This window comes from Homo sapiens, chromosome 11 (genome assembly GCF_000001405.40).
Source record: "Homo sapiens chromosome 11, GRCh38.p14 Primary Assembly".
Lineage (NCBI taxonomy): Eukaryota > Metazoa > Chordata > Mammalia > Primates > Hominidae > Homo > Homo sapiens.
The window spans coordinates 64,033,752-64,053,928 of NC_000011.10; the positions used below are offsets into that span (position 1 = coordinate 64,033,752).

General features: G+C 59.9%; 2 protein-coding genes across 8 annotated transcripts in view, besides 6 other annotated features; one reads left to right on the forward strand and one right to left on the reverse strand.

The window, feature by feature from the left end:
- MACROD1 (mono-ADP ribosylhydrolase 1) overlaps positions 1-20,177 on the reverse strand; it is a 167,556-nt gene that overhangs the window by 35,194 nt on the left and 112,185 nt on the right. The gene's annotated exons all lie outside the window — the stretch shown is intronic.
- FLRT1 (fibronectin leucine rich transmembrane protein 1) overlaps positions 2,180-20,177 on the forward strand; it is an 83,241-nt gene continuing 65,243 nt past the window's right edge. For 3 of the 5 annotated variants that reach the window (XM_047426696.1, NM_013280.5, NM_001423967.1), the window contains exon 1: positions 2,180-2,408. The gene's annotated coding sequence lies outside the window, so the exon portion shown is untranslated. Of the gene's footprint in view, positions 2,409-2,930; positions 3,025-20,177 lie in introns of those variants that run through there. The other 2 variants (XM_047426698.1, NM_001384466.1) reach the window with 1 other exon arrangement.
- Positions 2,220-3,122: an enhancer, noted in NCBI's record as "H3K27ac-H3K4me1 hESC enhancer chr11:63803443-63804345 (GRCh37/hg19 assembly coordinates)". NCBI's record gives its function as "activates a minimal SCP1, AML or CMV promoter by ChIP-STARR-seq in naive H9 embryonic stem cells {active_cell/tissue: H9 hESC(naive)}" and the evidence as "EXISTENCE:reporter gene assay evidence [ECO:0000049][PMID:30033119]".
- Positions 3,123-4,024: an enhancer, noted in NCBI's record as "H3K27ac-H3K4me1 hESC enhancer chr11:63804346-63805247 (GRCh37/hg19 assembly coordinates)". NCBI's record gives its function as "activates a minimal SCP1, AML or CMV promoter by ChIP-STARR-seq in naive and primed H9 embryonic stem cells {active_cell/tissue: H9 hESC(naive and primed)}" and the evidence as "EXISTENCE:reporter gene assay evidence [ECO:0000049][PMID:30033119]".
- Positions 14,464-15,022: an enhancer, noted in NCBI's record as "H3K27ac-H3K4me1 hESC enhancer chr11:63815687-63816245 (GRCh37/hg19 assembly coordinates)". NCBI's record gives its function as "activates a minimal SCP1, AML or CMV promoter by ChIP-STARR-seq in naive H9 embryonic stem cells {active_cell/tissue: H9 hESC(naive)}" and the evidence as "EXISTENCE:reporter gene assay evidence [ECO:0000049][PMID:30033119]".
- Positions 15,335-15,835: an enhancer, noted in NCBI's record as "H3K4me1 hESC enhancer chr11:63816558-63817058 (GRCh37/hg19 assembly coordinates)". NCBI's record gives its function as "activates a minimal SCP1, AML or CMV promoter by ChIP-STARR-seq in naive H9 embryonic stem cells {active_cell/tissue: H9 hESC(naive)}" and the evidence as "EXISTENCE:reporter gene assay evidence [ECO:0000049][PMID:30033119]".
- Positions 18,790-19,333: an enhancer, noted in NCBI's record as "H3K4me1 hESC enhancer chr11:63820013-63820556 (GRCh37/hg19 assembly coordinates)". NCBI's record gives its function as "activates a minimal SCP1, AML or CMV promoter by ChIP-STARR-seq in naive H9 embryonic stem cells {active_cell/tissue: H9 hESC(naive)}" and the evidence as "EXISTENCE:reporter gene assay evidence [ECO:0000049][PMID:30033119]".
- Positions 19,334-19,877: an enhancer, noted in NCBI's record as "H3K4me1 hESC enhancer chr11:63820557-63821100 (GRCh37/hg19 assembly coordinates)". NCBI's record gives its function as "activates a minimal SCP1, AML or CMV promoter by ChIP-STARR-seq in naive H9 embryonic stem cells {active_cell/tissue: H9 hESC(naive)}" and the evidence as "EXISTENCE:reporter gene assay evidence [ECO:0000049][PMID:30033119]".

Below are 20,177 nucleotides of genomic sequence, written 5' to 3' on the forward strand. Positions count from 1 at the left end.
AATTGCTTGAACCTGGGAGGCAGAGGTTGCCATGAGCTGAGATCGTGCCATTGCACTCCAGCCTGGGCGACAAGAGTGAAACGCCGCCCCCCCAAAAAAATTATTATTTTTATTTTTTTGTATTTTTTTTATCTCAAACTCCTGGTCTCAAGCAATCATCCCACCACAGCCCCCCAAAGCTCTGGGATTACAGGTGTGAGCCACCATGGCTGGCTCGAAGATAACATTTTGATATCTAAGTGTGACATGTCAAACAGAGCTACAATCATACAATCCATTCCACTGCGAGGCATTGAGTGCCCGCGCTCTGTGCCAGCTCTGTGGCTTGGTGTGGGGGTGGCAGGGATAGAAAGGGGTCTCTCCTTCAAGACATTTAGTTCAGAAGAGGAGGAAGGCTTGAACATAATTCCTGAGCCACACGCCAAGTGCTGGGATGGAGGAATGACAGAGCCCCAGGGCCACACGTCCATCTGGGGGTCTGGGAAGGCGGGACGGAAACCACAGCTCTGTAAAAATTACAGCCGTCTCTGCATGGACAAGCCTGGAAGGGAGCAGAGGAACGGAAGCTGTTGACGCCACAGGGCGGTGGCATTGTGGGTGATTTTTCTTTCTTTTATTGTTGGTATAATGCTGTTTGGGCAATAAATAAAAATTGGGAGGAAAAAATAGCTGTTTGGTGAATTGAGTAGAAATTGGGAGAAAGAAGAAAGGGAGTTAAGGGGAGGGAAATTAGAAGGGTGAAGTGAGGAGGGAGAGGCAGGAAGGGCAAAGACAGGCGCATGCAGAGCGCACAGAGGCCAGAGGCGGCGGCCTCAGGCTAGGCCCCAGTCTGTTCCCGGACTGGGCGCAAGAGGGCTGGGTTTGCACAGGGAAAGGAGGGGGAGAGGTGCTGGAGTCTCTGTAGGGGGGACCCTCCCCAAGGGGATCTGGGAGGGCATCCCAGAGGGGAGGTGGCCCCCAGGCCTCGATGGACAGCAAAGAGCAGGGCCGGCAGAGGGGGTCCCAGCCAGACTGTGGGCGGTCTGAGGGTGGATCAGGAGCACTGGGGCCCTGGTGGGGGCTCTGGGCAGGCTTGGGACTCAGAGCAGCCACTGACAAGGTGATGAGGTCTGACCAGGGCAGGCCAGGCTGGGTATATGGGAGAGTCCCTTACTTAGTGTCCCAGCGAATGCCAAGAGCACGGGGACTTTCAGGCTAAGAGGAGGCTGTCTGGTCTAAACACTCCCTCACCCCACCCGGATGCCACCCACAGGCATGAACATCTTCCCAGTCTCTAATAGGTGCCAGGCACTGGGCCAGCCACCCTCCCATTCAAGGTCTTCTTCATCTCTCACAGTAACCTTTGGAGCTAGGTAGTAACGGTCCCATTTCACAATCCAGGACACTGAGGCTGGGAGAGGTTCAGCAACTTGGCCAAGGTCACAGTCAGCTGGGGATGGGAGGGGGCGCTGGCATGGGACCCTGGCACTGCCCCCTTAATAGGTGGGAGGGGTATTGCTGGGGAGCGCCCGGGTGTTTACAGCACGCGGCGGATGAGAGGGTCTGCCCAGGGAAGGGGCGCCAGGCAGGAAGGAAGGGGTTACTTTGGCATGCAGAGTAGGCGGTGGGTACCTGTTTGTGAATGAATGCACGGGTGGACGGATGAATGAATGAATGAATGAATGGATGGCTGGAGGGATGGTTGAATGAGTGGGTGCGGAGAGGAGGGTGCTGGGGAGGCGGCGCGTGAGCTAGAACCCCTTTCTCCCCCGCCTCCACGGTGGAGGTTGGCTTTGGGAGCCTCCCTCCCCCAACTCCCCAGAGGGGTCGGCTCCCCCACCCGCCCTTCCCCCAGCCAGTTTAGCCGAGGGCGGGGGAGGGGGGCGCGGAGGCCGCTTCTCCCCGGCTGGGCCAGAATCCCCGCGCGGCGGCGCAGCCTCCCGCGCCGGGTCCCGCCGGCCAGTGCGCAGCGCGGCGCCCCCGTCCTCCTCCCCCTCCCCTCCTCCTCCTCTCCCTCCCCGCTCCGCGCCTGCACGCACGGCCCCCGCCGCCGCCGCCGCGAGGGGAGAGGCGGCCGCACAGCCTGGTTCCCCGCGCCCTGCTCGCCGCCGCCGCTCGCGCGGGCACCGCCGCTGGTCCCCGCCCCGCCGCCGAGCGCACCCGCCCGGGCACACGCACCCCGCCGCTGGACGCACCCCCCGCACTCCTCCCGCGGCTCCGCCGGGCGCCCGAGCCGGGCAGATGCGCCGCCGCGCGCCCCCCGCTCCGGGCCCGCCACCGTGCTCTGCCGCGCGCCGGGGGCTCCTCTCCCGGGCCCCCCTGGGCGCCCTCCGGCTCTGGTTCCCGCCCGCTCCTTGGAATAACCCCTGAGGCTCCAGCCGTCACCGCAAAGTTTCCCGAGGAGACCCGCCTCCCCGGCCGCTGCGCAGGTAGGGCTGGCTGCACCGGGCGGGGGTCGGGGTCCGCGCGTCTGGGACAGGGCGCCAGAGCCGACGGGGCGGGGGCCGGGGGCCCGGGGGCACCGAAGCGCCACGGGGTCAGGCAGCCTGGCTTTGCCCCAGAGCGGCGGGAGATGGGACGCCCAGCCTTTGGGATTTGGGGTGGGGGTCCCTGAGTCAAGAGCCAAGCACCAGTAGCGGTGGCGCTGGCCCCGCCGCGGGGAGGCGCGGGGTGCGCGGCCGGCGGCTCAGCTCTCCCGAGCCGAGGCTGGAAAGGGCGGGGGCTCAGCTGGAGCTCTAGTCCAAGCCCTCGCTGCACCCCCCAGGGAGGGGGCCTGGCCCGTGGGGGGCGTCAGGCCGGTCATGTGGGTCCCAGCTCCCGCACTCGGGAACCGGAGGAGGGCGCGCGGCCAGGGACAGCCGGCCGGCCTGGGCGCCGCGCTCCCGTCCCCACCAGCCGCGTGAGTCACGGTTGGAGCGAGGTTTTATTTTTAAAACGACTTCAAGGGGGGCATGAGCAGCCTCCAACTTCCCTCCCTGTGCGCGCTGTGGACCGTCAGCCCTGAGCCGGGCGGGGGCTGGGGCCGTACACCTGGCGGCTGGAACGGTGAGACCATGGTGCCTGGGCGGGGGGCGGCGGGCACCCCCCATCCCCCAGCTCTCAAGACAAGGAGGCGGCCCGACCCGGCGGCGCACGCCCCTCCTCGCGGGCACTGGAGACCCCGGGGAGGAAGGCTGGGGAGTGTTGTCGCCCAGCTGCAGGGAACCGTGGTTGATCAGAGCTCCCCGAGGAGGAGAAAGTTGTGGAACAGGGACACCAGGGAGCTGCCACAGCCTTCCCGGTGGCCCCGGGAGGTCTTCGAGGCCCTCCAGGGTGGGCAGTTTTGAGAGAATACAGCCCAGCTGGGGTGTGCCAGGCCCCCGAGGCCCAAGCCAGAGCTCTGATGTGAATAAATACAGCCAAGGCTGGGGACGGAGGTGAGGGGTGACTGAGAACAGCCCTGCCTCACCGCGGCCCCTACGCCCTCGGGTTGGATGGAAACCAGCCCCTCCACATCCCCCTCCCCAGGTGGCTCAGGAGTTAGGAAGGAGGCTGTCTGTGGGGGGGACCCACGATGCCACTGTGGAGGGAGGTGGCTGAGGCACCCTGTCTCTGCCCGGCGGCCGCGGGGGAGGCAGCCGCCGCGCTCAGGGGCTCCAGATTCCAGTTTCTGGAGTTGAAAGCTACTGCATCTCTTCCGCCAGCCCCGGGAGGAGAGGCGCAGACATCACCTGTCAGCTGGTGCTGACTCCGTGGGCGACTGTTCAGGGCTTCCTCAGAAGGTTTAAAATGGAAATGGCCTGAGCTGACAGGGCCCGTGCCTGGGAGGGGACGCTGCCTAGCTGGGCCAGCAGTGAGGGGGCCCTGGTAGGTGTGAGGGGCAGGAAGAGCTGAGGGCTGTCACATATCTGGCTGAAGGGTCGGCCATGGGCACAGGGTGTGTGTGTGTGTGCGCACCCAGTCCCATGTTCTTTCCCAGACACAGAGACTGGATACTCTTCAGTAAAAAGCACCCTGACCCCAGCATGGAGGCTCCGTAGCCCACACCCCCAAGGCAGCTGTGGCCTGCTGGACTTCACCTAGACCTGGGTCTGTGCATCCGCACTCTACCATTTATTGGTCCCTCCACCTCCCTGTGCCTCAGTTTCCCTTGTTGGTAAAATGGGATTGATAGTGCCACCTCCTGAGCCTGAGCCAGGGTGCTGCTTTGTAAGTGCATTTGACGCATGTTGTTAGTGGTCCTGCTCCTGGACTGGAGGATTCTCAAGGGCTGAGGGTATCTGCAGGGACTTCAGAGGGTCGGGGGGTCGGATTTTCCCACCACCAGCCAGTGTGCTGTCACTGGACTTCATCCTCACGCTGGCCCTCAGTGGCAGCGCCCTGTGTCCCCTCCTCCCCATCTCCGAGGCCTCCCATGAAAGCCCCTGGGAGGTCCGCCCAGCTGTTTCTAAGGAGGTGATGGGGAGGGGGTGCTGCCATCCCACTGGTCACCCACTGCCAGAGGTGTACAGACTTAGCTCTGTAGAGATTCATGCCTGGTGGCTGAGCCTGTGTCGCATTCACTGGGTGACCCTGGGCCTGCAGCCTCCCCTCTGGGACCGGCTTCCTTGCCTGCGCAGGGGTTTACAGCAGTTGTCCCACAGAGAGGATGTCTGGGTGTTCTGCGTGTGGGTGCAGGGAAGGGCAGTGCACACATGAGCAGGTGGCATCTGTGCTTGCTTCGAAGTTAGCTGAGAGGACTAGGGCTCCAGGTGGCCTTGACCCTGCGGGTGTTGAGGGACGGAGAGGTGGGTGTAGAGCCCAGAGGCCAGCACGGGGGCAGCTGTCAAGTGGCTGCTCTGGTGCAGGGGGAGGATGAGGCCTCCAGGATCTAGCTGGGCACAGCCACCTCTGCCCAGTCATGGGGCTAGCAGCCCCCTCCCCAGCCAGCCAGACATCCCCAGAATCAGGGCTGGACATGGCCTGATCTCAGAGATGGGGCCTGTATGGGACTGTGTGGGTCTGGCTGTGCTGGCCCTTCTGCTCTAGAGTCTGGAAATGATATCAACCACCTAGTCATCCCTGTTGATTGTGTTCCTGGGACACTAGAATGCCATCACAGGGTCCTAAGGACTTTCGGTTCCTGGGGAGGGTTTCTCTACCTGGCCTGCTAACCTTCGGCAAGTGACCCGTCTTCCTCATCTGTAGGGTGGGGTAACAGCAGTACCTACCTTGGGGAGGCACCCACGTTGAGAGGATGCGTATGAGGTTTCTAGCAGAGTTCATGCCTAGCAATGTGGGGCCCTTGCCTAGTCTACACCCCTCGTTCACTGTGGGCCAAGGGCTTTCAGCTTCTTCAGGCCTTGGGGTGGCAGGGAGGACTGAGGTGGCCCTCATCCCCTGCAGGCAGGGGCCATCCACTCTGGTACCTGGCCCAAGGGGCAGTGGGAAATGCCCCAGAGCAAGGGGGAGCTGGAGGGCTTTTGCTGAGGCCCCTTATAGGATGGGGTGCGTGAGGCATGTGGGTGAGCGAGCGTGGGTGGACAAGAAGGGGCGTGGGTGTGGCGAGGGTGCTAACTGCCTATAGTGGGGTGGGTGGGGACTGCCCCGGGGGTAGCTTTCCCTGCTCACTGGCAGAGGAGAGCGCCAGCCTCTGGGAGGCCCAGGCCCCAGGCCCTGGCTGCTGCCCCCGGTGTACTGCCTTCCAAGTGTGTTTGAGGTCGGGTGGTAGCGGGGGGTCCCTCCTCAGAACCTGTGTTGTTCTGCCGGAGACAAAGTTCAGGCTCTGGCTGGCCCACGAGGCAGCTGCATTCTGTCCTCTGCCATGGGACACTCACCCTGAGAGGGCCAGGGCTGTGGTGTGGGGCAGACTGGATGGCCGGGAGGAGACGGGAAAAGGACAGCACCCCTGTTTTGCCCTCCTCCCCCCGGACAGCCTGCCTGGAGTTCTCTGGCAGCAGCTGGAGACACCAAGAGGGTTCCATGGAGCAGGCTGTGTTTGTGCAGGCCTGTGTTTGCCTGTTTACCATCGCTCGAGGCCCCCAGAGCACTGCCGCTCCCCGGGGCCAGCGGCTCTGCAGATGATGTCAGGGTTTGGGGGCCTCTCCTTGCTTTGTGGAGGTTGTTTGCTGGATTCCTGCAGCCCTGGGTTTTAAAATGACAACCTGCAGAGCTGGTGGCTAGTGAGGGTGGGGGAGAGGACAGGGAGGAGGATGGGTGGGAGTTTGGGGCTGAAGCCATGGAGGATAAATGGGCTGGCCCACCAGTGCTCCTCTGGCACGCCTGGCTCCCTGGCTCTTCTGTTTTCCCTTCCCTCACTCCTTCCCTCCTTTCCTGCTCATTCATTCATTCATTCATTCATTCTTGAGATAATCATTGAGCATTAGTTATTGCCAGGCACAGTGCTGGGCTCTGGGACAAAAGTGGGGAACAAAAGCAGTGGGTGTCTTGCCCTCAGGGCGCTTCCAGTCAGATGTGGTGTCAGACATTAGTCAGATCTACCTCTTCCCCGTGAAGCCTTGGCTCTGAAGGCGCAAAGTGGTGAGGTCAAGTAACAGAGGGGCCTGCTGAGGGGTGGGATTGAGGGGGACTTCCCAGGGAAGGGGGTGCTTAAGACATGAAGAGTGAGCTGGAGCCAGGGAAGGGCAGGGACAGAAACAAGGGCCTGGAGGACAGGATGGATGGAGAGGGCTGCATGGAGACCCCCGGCAGGAGGGCAGAGGGGCTCAAGGCACCCGGCCAGGGCTGGGGCTGGTGGGCTGTCTCCCTGGGTCTCTGTGGCCCATCCATCCCCAGCTCTCTCAGGATTCCTGGGTCTGCCTCAGGGACCCTCTGCCTGTCCTTGCAGATGGGCCTCTGGAAGAGTGGGCTTCCTAGGCCCGGGATGCCAGGTCCCCTTTTCCCGAGAGCTGTGTGTTCACCTGCGTAGACAGGTTGCCCCAGCATCTGATGGGCTGTGAGACAAATGTGGGCTTGTTTATGACGGGGGCGGTAGCCCTGGGTGGACCGAGAGCTATTAGTGATGAAGGAGAGTCCGCAGAAACCCTCCCCAGCCCTGAATGTTCCCGGTGCAGGGAAGTGGGCTGGGGTGCAGGCAGAGGGAGAAGGGAGTGAAGGGGCTGTGTCCTGGAGGGCCCCGGACCCGGCTGTATGGGGCTCAGCTAGCCACTAGGGGACACTGCCTCCCAGGCAGACCGCAGGACCCAGGCATCCGACGTCCGGCCAGGCCCCAGGTGTGGCAGGCTCTGCTTCAAGGGGTCAAAGGGCATCCTCATGGGCAGACGGGGTCTATTGTCTGGCTGGCAGGGAGGCAGTGGCCGGGCTGGTTGGGGATGGCTTATACTTAATTAAAACTGGGATTAAAACTGGGGTCACGGGGCGCTAGTCCTGGCCATTCCTGCCCGCGTCACTCTCCAGAGGCAGCTCTGTGGCAGTATTTTTTTCACGCCCCTTTCCCTCCTTCTGCCTGAATTAATCGTTGGCACCAGATTACAACAGATTTAGCAAACTGTAAAAAAAAAAAAAAAAAAAAAAAAAAAAAAGCATGAGCGAGAGAGGAAGAGAGAAAAGAAAGGAGGGAATGCCTTCCGTGAGGAGCCGGCATTTATCTCCAGAAGCAAATTGCTCTTCTTGAACCATTCCTGCTGCCCCCCACCCCTCCACCCCCCGTGACGCCTGGGAAATGCTGCTCGGGAAAATGTCCTCAAAAATGCTGCCGGGTGCTGGAACCAGGAGGGGCTTTTCCTGGGGGAGGTCAGCCAGGGGCTGAGGAGGAGAGGAGAGCTCAGGGGAGTGAGGAGGGTGCCCGGGGCTGCTCTGGAGGGTGTGTTGGGGGACACCTGGCTGGTTCTGAGTGGTCGCAGAGGTGGGGCTTCGTGTAGGGCAGAGCGAGTGAACAGATGAATGAATGGAAAAAGGGGTGCAGCCAGGACCGAATGACCGCCTCGGGAGCTGGTGTGGTGGCAGTGGAGGGTCCAGCCTGCCCATCAGGATTCCTAGGGACAAAATCCGAGGGACTGAGCTCTCTCAAGCGACATAGCATCTTGGGTCTTGGATCCAATTCCACTTCTCTCTGGTCAGACCAGAGGGGGCCTGGCTTTGGTTCAGGGAATCTGGCTGTTAGGGGGTGGGTGTCTGGCCCTAGGGACATGGCAAGTCGCAGAGGGTCACGGGAGTTTCACCTCAAGGCTGAGGGTGCCCCGCCCAGTTAAAGCACAGGAGTGAGATTCGGTGGGCTGAGAGCCCCTGGGCTCCTAGCCTGGGCTGGGCTGCCCCACCCTGAGTGGGGACTTGGGTTCAGTGGGGGGCAGTTAGGGGCCCACCCTTCCTTCTTCGCTCACTCACTCTCTCGGGCAGCGGCCATGGTGGGCCAGGCCTGGAGCTGGCCACAGGGAAGGTGGCGGTGGCCCAGTCCAGTGGGACCAGGCGGGAGGGGGAGACAGATGTGCACCACGCTCACACCTCTGGTGGGCACACATGCACCTTCATGCACACACTCTTGCACACACATGCTCACACCTAACCCACCTTCCTCTCCTGTCTTCCCTGAGCCAGCCTGAGCCAGGCTCTGAGGTGAATGAAGCCCACATCTCACCCCCACCTCTGGAAGCTGCCACGAGGAAGGGGCTGGAGTGGCTGCCCCACCCTTCCCGTGCAGTCCCCTGCCCTTCCTGCCCCCAGACAGTGGCCATCTGTTGCCCAGGCCTGGACCCCTCTCTGGGGAATGGGGGGGTGTGAAGGAATGAGAAGTGGGAGTGACAGCCCCTCCCCTAAGCCCTGCTCCAATAGAGGAGGCCCTGTGATGGCCAGCCCTGCAGCGTAACCTTTGACCCCAGGGAGCCAGCAGTCAGGTAGGCTCTGGGTAGGGCCACCCCCTTGGCTAGCCAATGGGGGGCTGGCCTGGTGGCCAGGCCTGTGGGGGTCTTGGAAGCCCTTCCCTGCCTCACTGGGGCTGCATGCCTCCTAGGCTGTCTACCGGTCCCAGGGAGATAGACAACACTCCCCTGATCCCCCAGTCACAGTGGGGTGCTTCATGCCTCAGTTTCCCACTACTTCTGGACAAGGGGTTGGACCACTAGGTCCCTAGTAGCTGCCACTCAGAGCAGCACCATGGCTCTGAGCCCTGAGACCCCCACCAGGCTTGGGCTAGCCAGAGGGGCTGGGTAGTGCCACACCCCAGTTTCCAGGGGCTTCTGGCTTGACAAGCTCTGCCTGGTTTATCTTCTTCCCACTGTGAGAGCAGGGAGACTGAGGCACAGAGTGGAGACACGCCCTGTCCAGTGCCATGTGGTAGTCAGGACACATTCTGGGGCAGAAGGGCTATGAAATGAAAGCTCTGGAGTCGATGAACTTGGGCTCGAAGCCCACCTTTGTTACTTATCATCTGAGTACCCTGGACGCCTCACGTCCCCTCTCTGTGCCTCTGTCTCCACACCTGTGAAACAGGATGATGGCATACGTGCTGACATCCCAGGGTTAGCATGAAGACTCCATGTGACTGTGTCCACAGAAGGGCTTTGTGGGAACCAGTAGTTACTTTGGATCATTGGACAGGCCCCGCCAGACACGTGCTGGGATAATCACCCTGCTCGGGGCTCTGAGGAGCTCAGGGGCTGGAGAGGGGCTGTACAGGCTAGCTTTCCGCCCTCAGGACCCCACCCTCTCTGGCAGGAAGGCTTGTGGGGCACTGCTGAGCCCCGAGGTCTGGGGCCCATGCAGTAGCAGGTGGAATGCATCAGGGAGCAGTGGACTCTAAACGCCTGGTTGTGACAAAAGGGCAAGTTGAGGTGTGGGTGACTCCTGGGGGAGCTGGGGAGAGCTGAGCTCTGGAGGGCTCTGGAGAGCAGCAAGGGTTAGGAGGCAGCAGGTGTGGGAAGGGCAAGAGGTCAAATCGTGGAAAGGGAAAGCATGGGGCTCAAATGTCACCTTCTGCTCATTAAGGGTGGCAGAGAGGTCATTATTGAGTGTTTACTGCATACAATGCATATTTCATAGAGCACCATGCTAAGGACTCTACCTTGCAGAATCCCACTGAGGCTTCACAACAGCCCCATTGCACAGAAGAGAAAACTGAGGCTCAGGCAGGTAAAGTGATTGGACCAAGGTCACGTAGCCAGGACATGGCATCTTTTTTTTTTTTTTATGACGGAGTTTCGCTCTTGTTGCCCAGACTGGAGTGCGATGGTGCAATCTGGGCTCACAGCAACCTCTGTCTGCAACAGGTTCAAGCTATTCTCCTGCCTCAGCCTCCCAAGTAGCTGGGACTACAGGTGCCCGCCACCACGCCGGGCTAATTTTTCATATTTTTAGTAGAGACGGGGATTCACCATGTTAGGCAGGATGGTCTCGAACTCCTGACCCTCAGGTGATCCACCCACTTCGGCCTCCCAAAGTGCTGCGGTTACAGGTGTGAGCCACTGTGCCCGGCCCAGGACATGGCATCTTAAAGCATATGCTCGTAACCCCCTCAGCCTACAACACATGAGAGTAATCAACACAGCAATAGTAGCTGACATTTATATCACACTTACTATGTACCTGGTGGTTGGCAGTTCCCCCAACAACTTTTTTTTTTTTTTTTTTGAGATGGAGTGTTGCTCTGTCGCCCAGGCTGGAGTGCAGTGGTGCAATCATAGCTCACTGCAGCCTCTAACTTTTGGGCTCAAGTGATCCTCCCACCTCAGCCTGCCGAATAGCTCGGACTACAGGCACGCACCAACACACTGGCTAATTTTTTAATTTGGCAGAGACAGGGTTTCCTTATGTTGCCCAGGCTGGCCTTGAACTCCTGGCCTCAAGCGATCCTCCCGCCTTGGCCTCCTGATTACAGGTGTGAGACACTGCGCCTGCTCTCCCAGCAACTTCTGAAGTAGGCACTATTATTATCCTGATTTTACCCCAGGGGTAAACTGAGGCACTGAGTGGCAAAGTCACTTGCCCAAGGTCACACAGAGGAAGGGGAACCACGTTCATTAGGGTGAACTTGGGTCCTTTACAAAGGAGGATGGGAAACTGAGGCATGGAGATGGCAGGTAACTGCCTGAGGTCACCAGCACCTGAGCTTTGGTATCTGTCATGCTCCCCCCTCACCAGACCCCTCCCCAAGCTGGGGACCTGCCCAGGACCTCTGAGCTGTCTCCTGTGGTCTAAGAGCCTCATACTTCCTCTTCCCTGCCTGGATTCTGCCTTCGTTTCCTGAGGCCCCACTGTGTGCTGGGCCTGGGGCTGGTACTGACAGTAGGTGATGTCATTTAACACATGTGTCAGGGAGGAATCAGGGAAGGCCTCATAGGGTAGGTGTCATTTGCACTTTGGAGCCAGGTGGGAGGGCATTATTCCTGGAGGGGAACAGCCTTGGCAGAGGCATTGTGAGCAGTCAGGCCTGTGCGGGCTGAGGGGGAGCAGTCCGGGTGCATGTGGTGGGTGGCATGTGCTTCTGCCTCGGCCGAGTGCTTTTCTGCAGCCCAGATGCTGGCCTGTGACGTCAGCAGGTGGCCCAGCTGGGCCTCGCTGCCCGCTGGTGCCCTCGGGAGGAGTGGGGCGGGTGGTGGGCGAAGGGGCCCGGGAGGGTGCTGGCGGCCTGCCGTCACAGAGCAATCTCCATTAGGGCCCCTGAGCGAGTGGCAGCAGCTCCTGGAATCCTATTAAAAGCTTTTTCATTGTTCCCCGAGTTATGCTCTGCTCCGCCGGGACCTGGGCATGTTGATAATTTATTTGTGGAAGGGAAAGGGGTGAAGAGCGCAGGAGAGAGGAGGAAATGTCATTATTTACTCAGCTTGGTTTCTGCAGCGTGGGCCCTGCCGTGGGGCAGCTGGAGAGGGGGCTCTACCACCCCTATCCCAGCCTCTGGGTCACTTATGGGACCCAATTTGGTAGGTAGGGGGTGAGGGTCTGCCGAGGGAGCAGCGGCGTTCAGCTGGGGTAGCCACCTTGCTGCGTCCTGAGGGTACAGATTGGAGAGACTGCTCCTGGGGTCTCAAAGGCAGGCGCACATCCCTGCTGCTGGCCAGCCATGTGGTTGCATAAGCCACTGTACCCCTGGATGCCAAAAACCAGAAATAGACCTCACTTTTCTGGGGGATGAGAAGGAATTCAGAACTAACAATAATAGTAATAACAGGTGGGCATGCTGGCTCAAACCTGTAATCCCAGCATCTTGGGAGGCTGAGGCAGGAGGATGGCTTGAGGCCAGGAGTTTGAGACCAGCCTGGGCAACATAGCGAGACCCCATCTCTTAAAACAATAACAGCAGTGACACTGGGTAACATGACTGAGCACTCACTGTGGACCTGCAGTGTGCTAAACATGTCACGTACAGTACTGTATCTCATTTAATCCCCATAAGTGGGCAGTGATACTGTTATTATTCCCTTTTTACACATGAGGAAACTGAGTTACAGGCAGCCAAGGTCACACAGGTCACACAGGTTCTGAGCGGCAGGGGTAGGATGGGAACCCGGCTTCTCTTAGCATGGGTGCTGCCTCTGGCCTCCTGAGCCTCTGTTCTCCAGAGCAGCCGACTCCCACTGGGTCCCCAGTCCCTCTCATCCAAAGTGAGGAAGCCCCAGAAGAGGGACAGGGGCCACCTCCTGCAGAACCTTCTAGTAGCAAACTTAGTTGCTACTAGAGCCTGGTGGGGCACAGATGAGGAAACAGAGGCTTACAGAGGTGACAAAGGCAGGGTGGAGCCAGGCTGGCCCTGGGTTCCCAAAGTGTCCCCTGTGCTGGGGTGCGAGGCTGCCCAAGGGGACAGGAGGGAGCTGGGTCCTACCCTTGCCCTGGACCCCAGACAGTGCTGGCCTTTGTCTGGGACCCTGCGCTGTGCTCCAGCCCAGGTCAGCTTCATGCACACTCCTGATTGGCCCGTTCTTTTTTTCTTTTTGAGACGGAGTTTTGTTCTCGTCGCTCAGGCTAGAGGACAAGATCATGTACCCTCCCAAGTAGCTGGGGCTACAGGCGTGTGCCTCTATGCCCAGCTAATTTTGTATTTTTAATAGAAGCAGGGTTTCACCATGTTGGTCAGGCTGGCCTTGAACTCCTGACCTTGAGTAATCCGCCTGCCTCAACGTCCCAAAGTGCTGGGATTACAGGCGTGAGCCGCTGCGCCTGGCCTGGCCCGTTCTTTAAGCTGTGGAGGAATTCATGGTGTGATGTGAAGTCTTCCCCATCCCTGCCTCTCCCCATCCTCTAGCCAGATACTGCCGGACATTTTAAAACACTTGAATTCAGTCAAGTCACGCACTAGCTCTGAGACCATCAGTGGCTCTCTAGTTCCTGAGAAGTCCAGCGCCCTCAGCCTGGCATTTCAGACCTTCCCAGCATGGCCCTGGCTGATGCACCAGCCTCGCCCCAGTGCCCCCCCCGGCTAGCATGCTCACACCTCTGAGCCTTCGACGTGCTGTTCCCTGTGTCTGGAAGGCCACCCTCACTCCCCGACATTGGCTGCCTCATGAAAGGCGGTGCAGGTGGCACTGCCTGCCTCCACCCACCTGTGGTGCCCCCCTCCCCTCCCCTGCCCCAGAGAGGTGCTGCTGAACTGTGGAACCAGTCAGATTCCTCAACTCCTCCCAGCAAGCCTTCCTGGCCCGAGATAAATGGCTTTCTTTGTACAACAGCCCTGGGAGTGGGTAGCGTGAGCCCATTTTAAGAAGGCGAAACCTGAGGCTCAGGGAGGTTCAGTCACTGGGCCAAGGTCACCCAGCAATCGGAGGAGATAAAGCCAGGTCCATGCCATGGGGTCCCTGTCCTGTTCCGTTTCACCCCCAGCAGCCGTAAAGCAGGTGGAGGAGTGACCAGCTTGGCATTCCCTGAGCCCTCCTCACCTGCCTGGCATTCACAGAGGATCACATTTAATCTTTACAGTGGCCCAGATGTACTTAGAGGCTCCATTTTACAGATGAGGAAACTGAGGTTAATAGAGGGAAGGAAGGCCGGGCGCGGTGGCTTATGCTTGTAATCCCAGCACTTTGGGAGCCTGAGGCAGATGGATCACCTCAGGTCAGGAGCTCGAGACCAGCCTGGCCAACGTGGTGAAACCCCTTCTCTACCAAAAATACAAAAATTAGCTGGGCATGGTGGCAGGTGCCTGTAATCCCAGCAACTCGGGAGGCTGAGGCAGGAGAATCGCTTGAACCTGGGAGGTAGAGGTTGCAGTGAGCTGAGATCGTGCCATTGCACTCCAGCCTGGGTGACAAGAGTGAAACTCCGTCTCAAAAAAAAAAAAAAAAAAGGAAGGAAGCAGGAAAGCAGAGCCCCAGCCCTGCAGCAACTTCCTGGGACCCTGATGGTGGATAGGAGCTTTCCCAGTGCCCTGTGTGCTGGGCCTGAGCCACCACTTCAGAGTGGGGATGCTGGCAGGCCCTGCCCGCCTGAGGCCCAGCCTGGCTCTCAGGCCTGCAGCCTGCCCTGGCCGGCGGGAGGCAGTGGGCCCAGAAGCAGGGCCGGGCAGGGGCCCTGCCCCCACGACAGCTGCCTCTCTGGCCCACTGGCCTCTCAGACAGACAGGGCTTGTGAGAGCCGGGGGCCTTCGAGGAGAGCTCAGCTCCCGCCGGCAGCTACTCAAAGGCCTCATTGTGGCAGGAGAGTCTGCCATGGGCAGCTGCCCCCATGGGAGGTGCAGACAGAGCCCAGCCTTTGTGCCAGTGCACTGTCCCTGCCCTGACCCGGGGTCAGCAGGACAGAGGCCCTTGTCTGTGGAGGCTGGGGGCCTCCCGGGGAGGGTCTGCCCTGGACCCTCCGTTGGCCTGGGACGGGTGTGGCCTGTGTTGCCAGGCTGTGGTTGCCAGGGACCCAGGAGCCCTTCCAGCTCCCAGATCCAGCCATGGAGGAGGCTAGTCCTTGGCCTGACTCAGGCTTGGAGAGGTGCAGAAGTCAAGCAGGATGGTTAATAACAGTCATGGCAGCAGGGGCTGCAGCCCCAGCGGAATTCTTACTGTTCCTGCCGCTAAGCACTTTATGCGTCATCACCGATTCCTTAAAGCAGCCCTACAAAGTGCCTGCAGTTTTTGCTCCATTTTAGAGATGAGAAAACCAAGGCTCTGCAGGGTTAGGAAATTCAACCCAGATCCCATAACTCTAAGGGCGGAGCTGGATCCCACTCCAGAACCCATTCTGAGCCCCAGGGGCTGCTATCCCCACCAAGCACCCGAGGTGGGCCAGGCACCAGGGCCATCCCATGGTGCAAACCCAAAGCCGCCCTTGCCCTGTCCCCACAGAGCTCCCAGCCAGCTCGCCAGACCCTCAAAGCAGTCTGGTGTGAGGGAGAGCCTGTCATCCCATTTTAGAGCCAAGGAAACTGATGCTCAGAGAGACAGACTGGGGTGCCGGCTGCCTCCTGCCCTGAGTGTGGGTGATAGGCAGATCACATATTTGTCCTTCAGGGGGTGGGGCCTTTGCCTGCACTTTGTGGGTGAGGTATTACATTCACTGGAGTGGGGAACAGTGGAGGAAAAGTGACAGAGCCCCTGAGAGGTCTGGGGGACTTCAGGGCTGAGCCACCCCATTCATAGTCCCACTCTTGGAAGGACCCCCAGAGACCACTGTGTTTGTTAACACCCCATTGTGTAGTAGGAAACTGAGGCACAGAGAAGCGAAAAAGGGACTGGCCCAGGATCCCCAAAGCCTTGGGGATTGAACAGGGTCCTACCGATGCCCAAAGGCTGTGCTGTTCACAGCGGTGCCCACGGCCAGTCCTGGGCAGGGAGGTCAGCAGGCCCCCTGAGCACTTCCTGTGCGCTGGGCCCAGTTCTGAGCATTACCCGCATGACTCGCTTCATCCTCACAACCTTATGGGGGAGGTATGAGGAAACTGAGGCCCCTTCCCCAGGCCACACCTCCAAGGTCAGCCTCCCCAAGCGGTCTTGGTCTCCGAGCTCAGCTGGTTCTATTGGCTTCCTGTCCTGCAGGACCTGCTGACTCCCGCACAGACATCCTGATGGTTCAGGGTTGGAGGTGCCTGCTGAAGGGGGTGGACGCTGGGGGTGCAGACAGACAGCTCAGTGATCTGCGGGGCAGGCTGCACACCCCAGAGCCCAGTGTCTTGCCTTCTCATCCTGAGGGGGATCGGTTTCTCCATCTGTGAAATGGGCGCCAGCCTGTGGGGGACCCACAAGTGAAGTCGTCTCTGCAGACTCCCTGCTTGCTAGGGCTGGGGCCTGGCTGAGCTGTGATCCACCCCACCATCCCCCAGCTCTGTTCTAGAAAGGCTGTGTCCCAGACCAAGACGCTGTGGCCCCGGGGGGGAGGCCAAACCTCTCTCAGAGCCCTCTTGGCCTAGCGATCGCACAGAGCCAGCCCAGGCCTGGATGCCATATTATAAATAATGCTATTAATATTAATAAGAAATGGCCTGGTAAAGTGATGATGAGGGTGATGGCCTACTCTTCCCTCGAGATCTCTCCGGAGGCTGGGAAACCAGGCCCTCGGTCCTTATGCCCCACAGGGAAGCCGGGTGCAGGCTCCGTCTTCACCCTGCCACTCCCACCTCTCCCTCCACCCATCCCTCCCTCCCTAGACCCCAGCCTGGGGATGCAGGGAGGGCCGATGACCCATCCCCACAAGAGGAGGGACCTGAGACCCCGAGAGATGAGTGGCTCCCCAGGACTCACAGCTACCACGAGGCCCAGAGCTTGACTGAGTTTAGTGCTCTTCCCACTGACCCTTCTGAAATGTGCAGGCCACCTAGGGGCAGCTGGACACGTAGGGGTCCTGGGGCCAGGCCCTTGGCCAGCCCTCAGTGTGACAGTGGTGGGGACCCAGATGCCCGGGCACTGCTTCCACTCTGCCCCTTCCTGGCTGTGTGGCCATGGATGCTTCAGCCCCCATACCCTCTATTGCTTCTGTTCCCAAGGGTCACCTGGTGAGGACAGCCCTCCCTCACAGCGCTAAGGACAGGCCTGGCACACAGTGAGGGCTGTCCAGCGGTGACCATGACCCAGCAGTGACCATGGCCCAGCTGACTTTCACTCTTGTCGCCCAGGCTGGAGTGCAGTGGCGCGATCATGGCTCACTGCAACCTCTGCTTCCCGGGTTCAAGCGATTCTCCTGCCTCAGCCTCCTGAGTAGCTGGGATTACAGGCGCATGCCATAATACCCCGCTAATTTTTGTATTTCTAGTTGAGATGGGGTTCTGTCATGTTGGCCAGGCTGGTCTCGAACTCCTGACCTCAGGTGATCCGCCTGCCTTGGCTTTCCAAAGTGCTGGGATTACAGGCCTGAGCCACCGCGCCCGGCCACAGCCTTGCTTTTCTTGACCCTCCAAGACTTTCTTGTTGCAGGCAGCCAGGCCTGTCCCCTGAGCCCCACTCCTGAATCCTCTGGACCAGCCTTGCCCAGGGGGACAGCCTGGTAAATTCCAAGGATTGAGGCTCAAGTATTGTGCCCCACCGATCTGGAGGAGAGATTCACTCCATGGATGCTGCCTGTGGGTGCAGCCCCCAAAGCCCCAGGTTTGAGGCCCCCTGACCACTCACCTAGCCACCTTACTAGGCCTCAGTTTTGTCATCTGTGACATGGGGCCAGGGGTGCCAAGACAGGATGATGTGGGCAGCAGCCTTACCCCACGTAGGTGCCCAATCAGGGGAGGGGAGGGGCTGGTCCCTCTTTTGAAGTAGCTCTGGGCAGACACCTGCCTTGACGGCCCTCTGGGTGCTGATGTGGTGGGGTGGGTGCGTGTGGTCACGAGCTAGAGAGGCAGCAGGGACTCTGGCGGCTTGGCCTGACACTCAGTGGTGACAGTGATGGCGGACCCACCCTCCCCAGGGTGGCACTGATTGAGTCTCATTGTTGTGGGGCGGGGGCACCCTCTCGGAAGCCTCGCTCCTGGCTCCTGGGCGGCAGAGCTGTCGGCCGGGCAGGCTAACAGCTGTTTGTGCAGAGACTAAATCTGTCCGGGTCTGACAGACGGCCTTGTGCCACCACCGCCATTCCTGCGTGGAGCGGGCAGTGGGCTGGTGGCAGTGTGTACATCAGCCCTCTCCGAGCTCACGGCCCGGAGCTTATAGGGGCAGGGGCCGAGGTTGGTGAGCTCCTCCCTGAACAGTGGTTTGGCCAGATAGCCCTGCGGCCCAGTCCCTCTCAGGACAACTTCTGAGGGTGCCCATTGCCCATGGCTTCATTGCCTGTCCACCCCCAGGGACCTCAAGGCCTAGCTGGGATCCTCTGGATATTGGGGGCCATGGCCGTCCCATCGTGGGGTCCTGCCTTTCCTCTCTCGGGGGCTGCAAGAGAGGTAGAGACTGGATACTCCAAGGCCACTGGTGCCCGGACAGTGTTATGTGTTTGTGCCATTCCTGCTTGGATGAGAGGGGGTCCAGGCGAGAGCTGGGGGCTTGCTAATGAACTTGGCTGGTATCTAGGGGGGCATTTTGGGAAGGAGGAAGGCAGAGTCCCTGCATTGGAGCAAATCCCTTGGAGGAAGCCCTGGCCCTCCTCCCTGTAGTGAGAAAGAGTGGCCTTGGGGCCAGAAGATGGCTCCCAACAAGGCACCCAGAGCCCCGGTGCCAAACCAGGGATGCTCAGTTCTAAATCTAGAAGGGTGGTAGGAAGCCCAAATAAGCATTGTCGGGGTGGGGGAAAAAAAACAACTTTTTTTGCTGTGAGGCCTTGAAACAATGTGAGAAGTTGTGAGAATTATTTCCCTGTGACCCTGGAAAGAGTTTTTAAAAATTTTTAAAGAGATGGGAGTCTCACTAGGCTGCCCAGGCTGGACTCAAATTCCTGGCCTCAAGCGATCTTCCATCTTAGTCTCTCTCCCCAGTTGCTGGGACTACAGGGGCAGGCCTGGGCCAAGCTTGTGGGAAGGTTTAAATGTTGACATGAAGTTAGCCCTTCTGAGGTTGGCAGGATGGTCAGGAGCAGGACAGTATCTGAGCTTCCACTCCTCACCCGCTGCTCTTGGCAGACATGGCTAATCAATCCCAGCCCTGTCTCCTGCTGAGTCCAGGGAGGGCCCACCTGGGAGGGCAACTGACCTGGGCATCCCTGATAGTGTTTTGCAAATGAGGAAATGGCGCTTAGAGAAGCCAAGTAGCCTGCCACAACCTCCCAGCTTCTAGGGGTGGAGTTGTGATGTAAACCTGATTCTCCTGACTCCAGAACTTTGTGATCATGGAAGCTGGTGGTCCAGGGGCCCTTTGCCCAGGTGGGGTTCTGCCGTGGTGCCAGCAGCTTTAATTATGCCCCTGCCAGAGCCCACCACTACTCCACCCAGCTACCCTCCAGATAGGCACAGTATGGCCAGGCTTGGCCTCACGGTCAGGGCCATCTCTCTTTCCCCACCCCTGGCTGCAACCTGCCTGTGCTTGGGTATAATTACATTCGGTTGCTTACACCCCGGGCTCTCAACTGCAGCCAAACAGTGCGCTGCAGCCTCCGAATGTGGGGCTTCTGATTCCCTCCAGCACGCTGGGCCTGCCTGAGGGGTGTGCAGGGACCAAGAAGGTGCAGTCACCAGGCTCATGCGGGCCCCAGACGGAGAGCTGGGGCTGGGCTTGGGGCCCTGGGGTGGGCGTGCTGGGGAGCAGGGTGGGGTGAGGCTCCCCTCTTTAGCTGCTAGGCTGGTGCCTCAGTACACCTTGGGCCTCGTTAGGAGGTAGTTTTCCTGGCTTTGAGGTTACCCTTTTAATTAAGCCAATTAATTAGTGCCTTTAATGAAGCAGATTAAGCAGGCTGGGCTCTGTTAACTGGGGCTGTCACAGCCCATGGTTTCCTGCAGATCTGTACTTAGAGGCCGGCCCTCCCTCCAGGGGCACTGAGGTGCAGGGTTAGGCTGGGCTGGGGATGTCTGTGGCCCCGATGGGAGTGTGGCCAGGAACCCAGGCCTGGGTTGGGGAGGCAAGGCTGGTCTGAGGCTGTAGGGACAACCCTGGACTCAGACACCACAGCACACAAGGGCCAGAGTGGGAGCAGGAAGTGGGAGGGATGTGGGGCCCCTACCCTGGGGATCTACAGGGGGCAGCTGGCTCAGCGGGGTCCTCAGCAGGTGTGACTGCCTGGGGGAAGGGGCTTAAGGGGCCTGGAGCCCCTACTTTCTCCTTCCCTTGCCTTCCGCTCTCTGGGACTGCTGGGCCTTGGTTGTTTCTAGCCCAGTGGGGTTGAGCCCTATAGCGGCATCCCGAGCCCCTTGCCTGCCCGCAGATGGGGAGGGGAGTGCTCAAGGTCACATGGGAGTTAGGGGCAGGGCTAAGATGCAAGGCCGCATACCCGGTTGCTTCCGTCATCCCCCCCACCACCTCTGCTGGCCC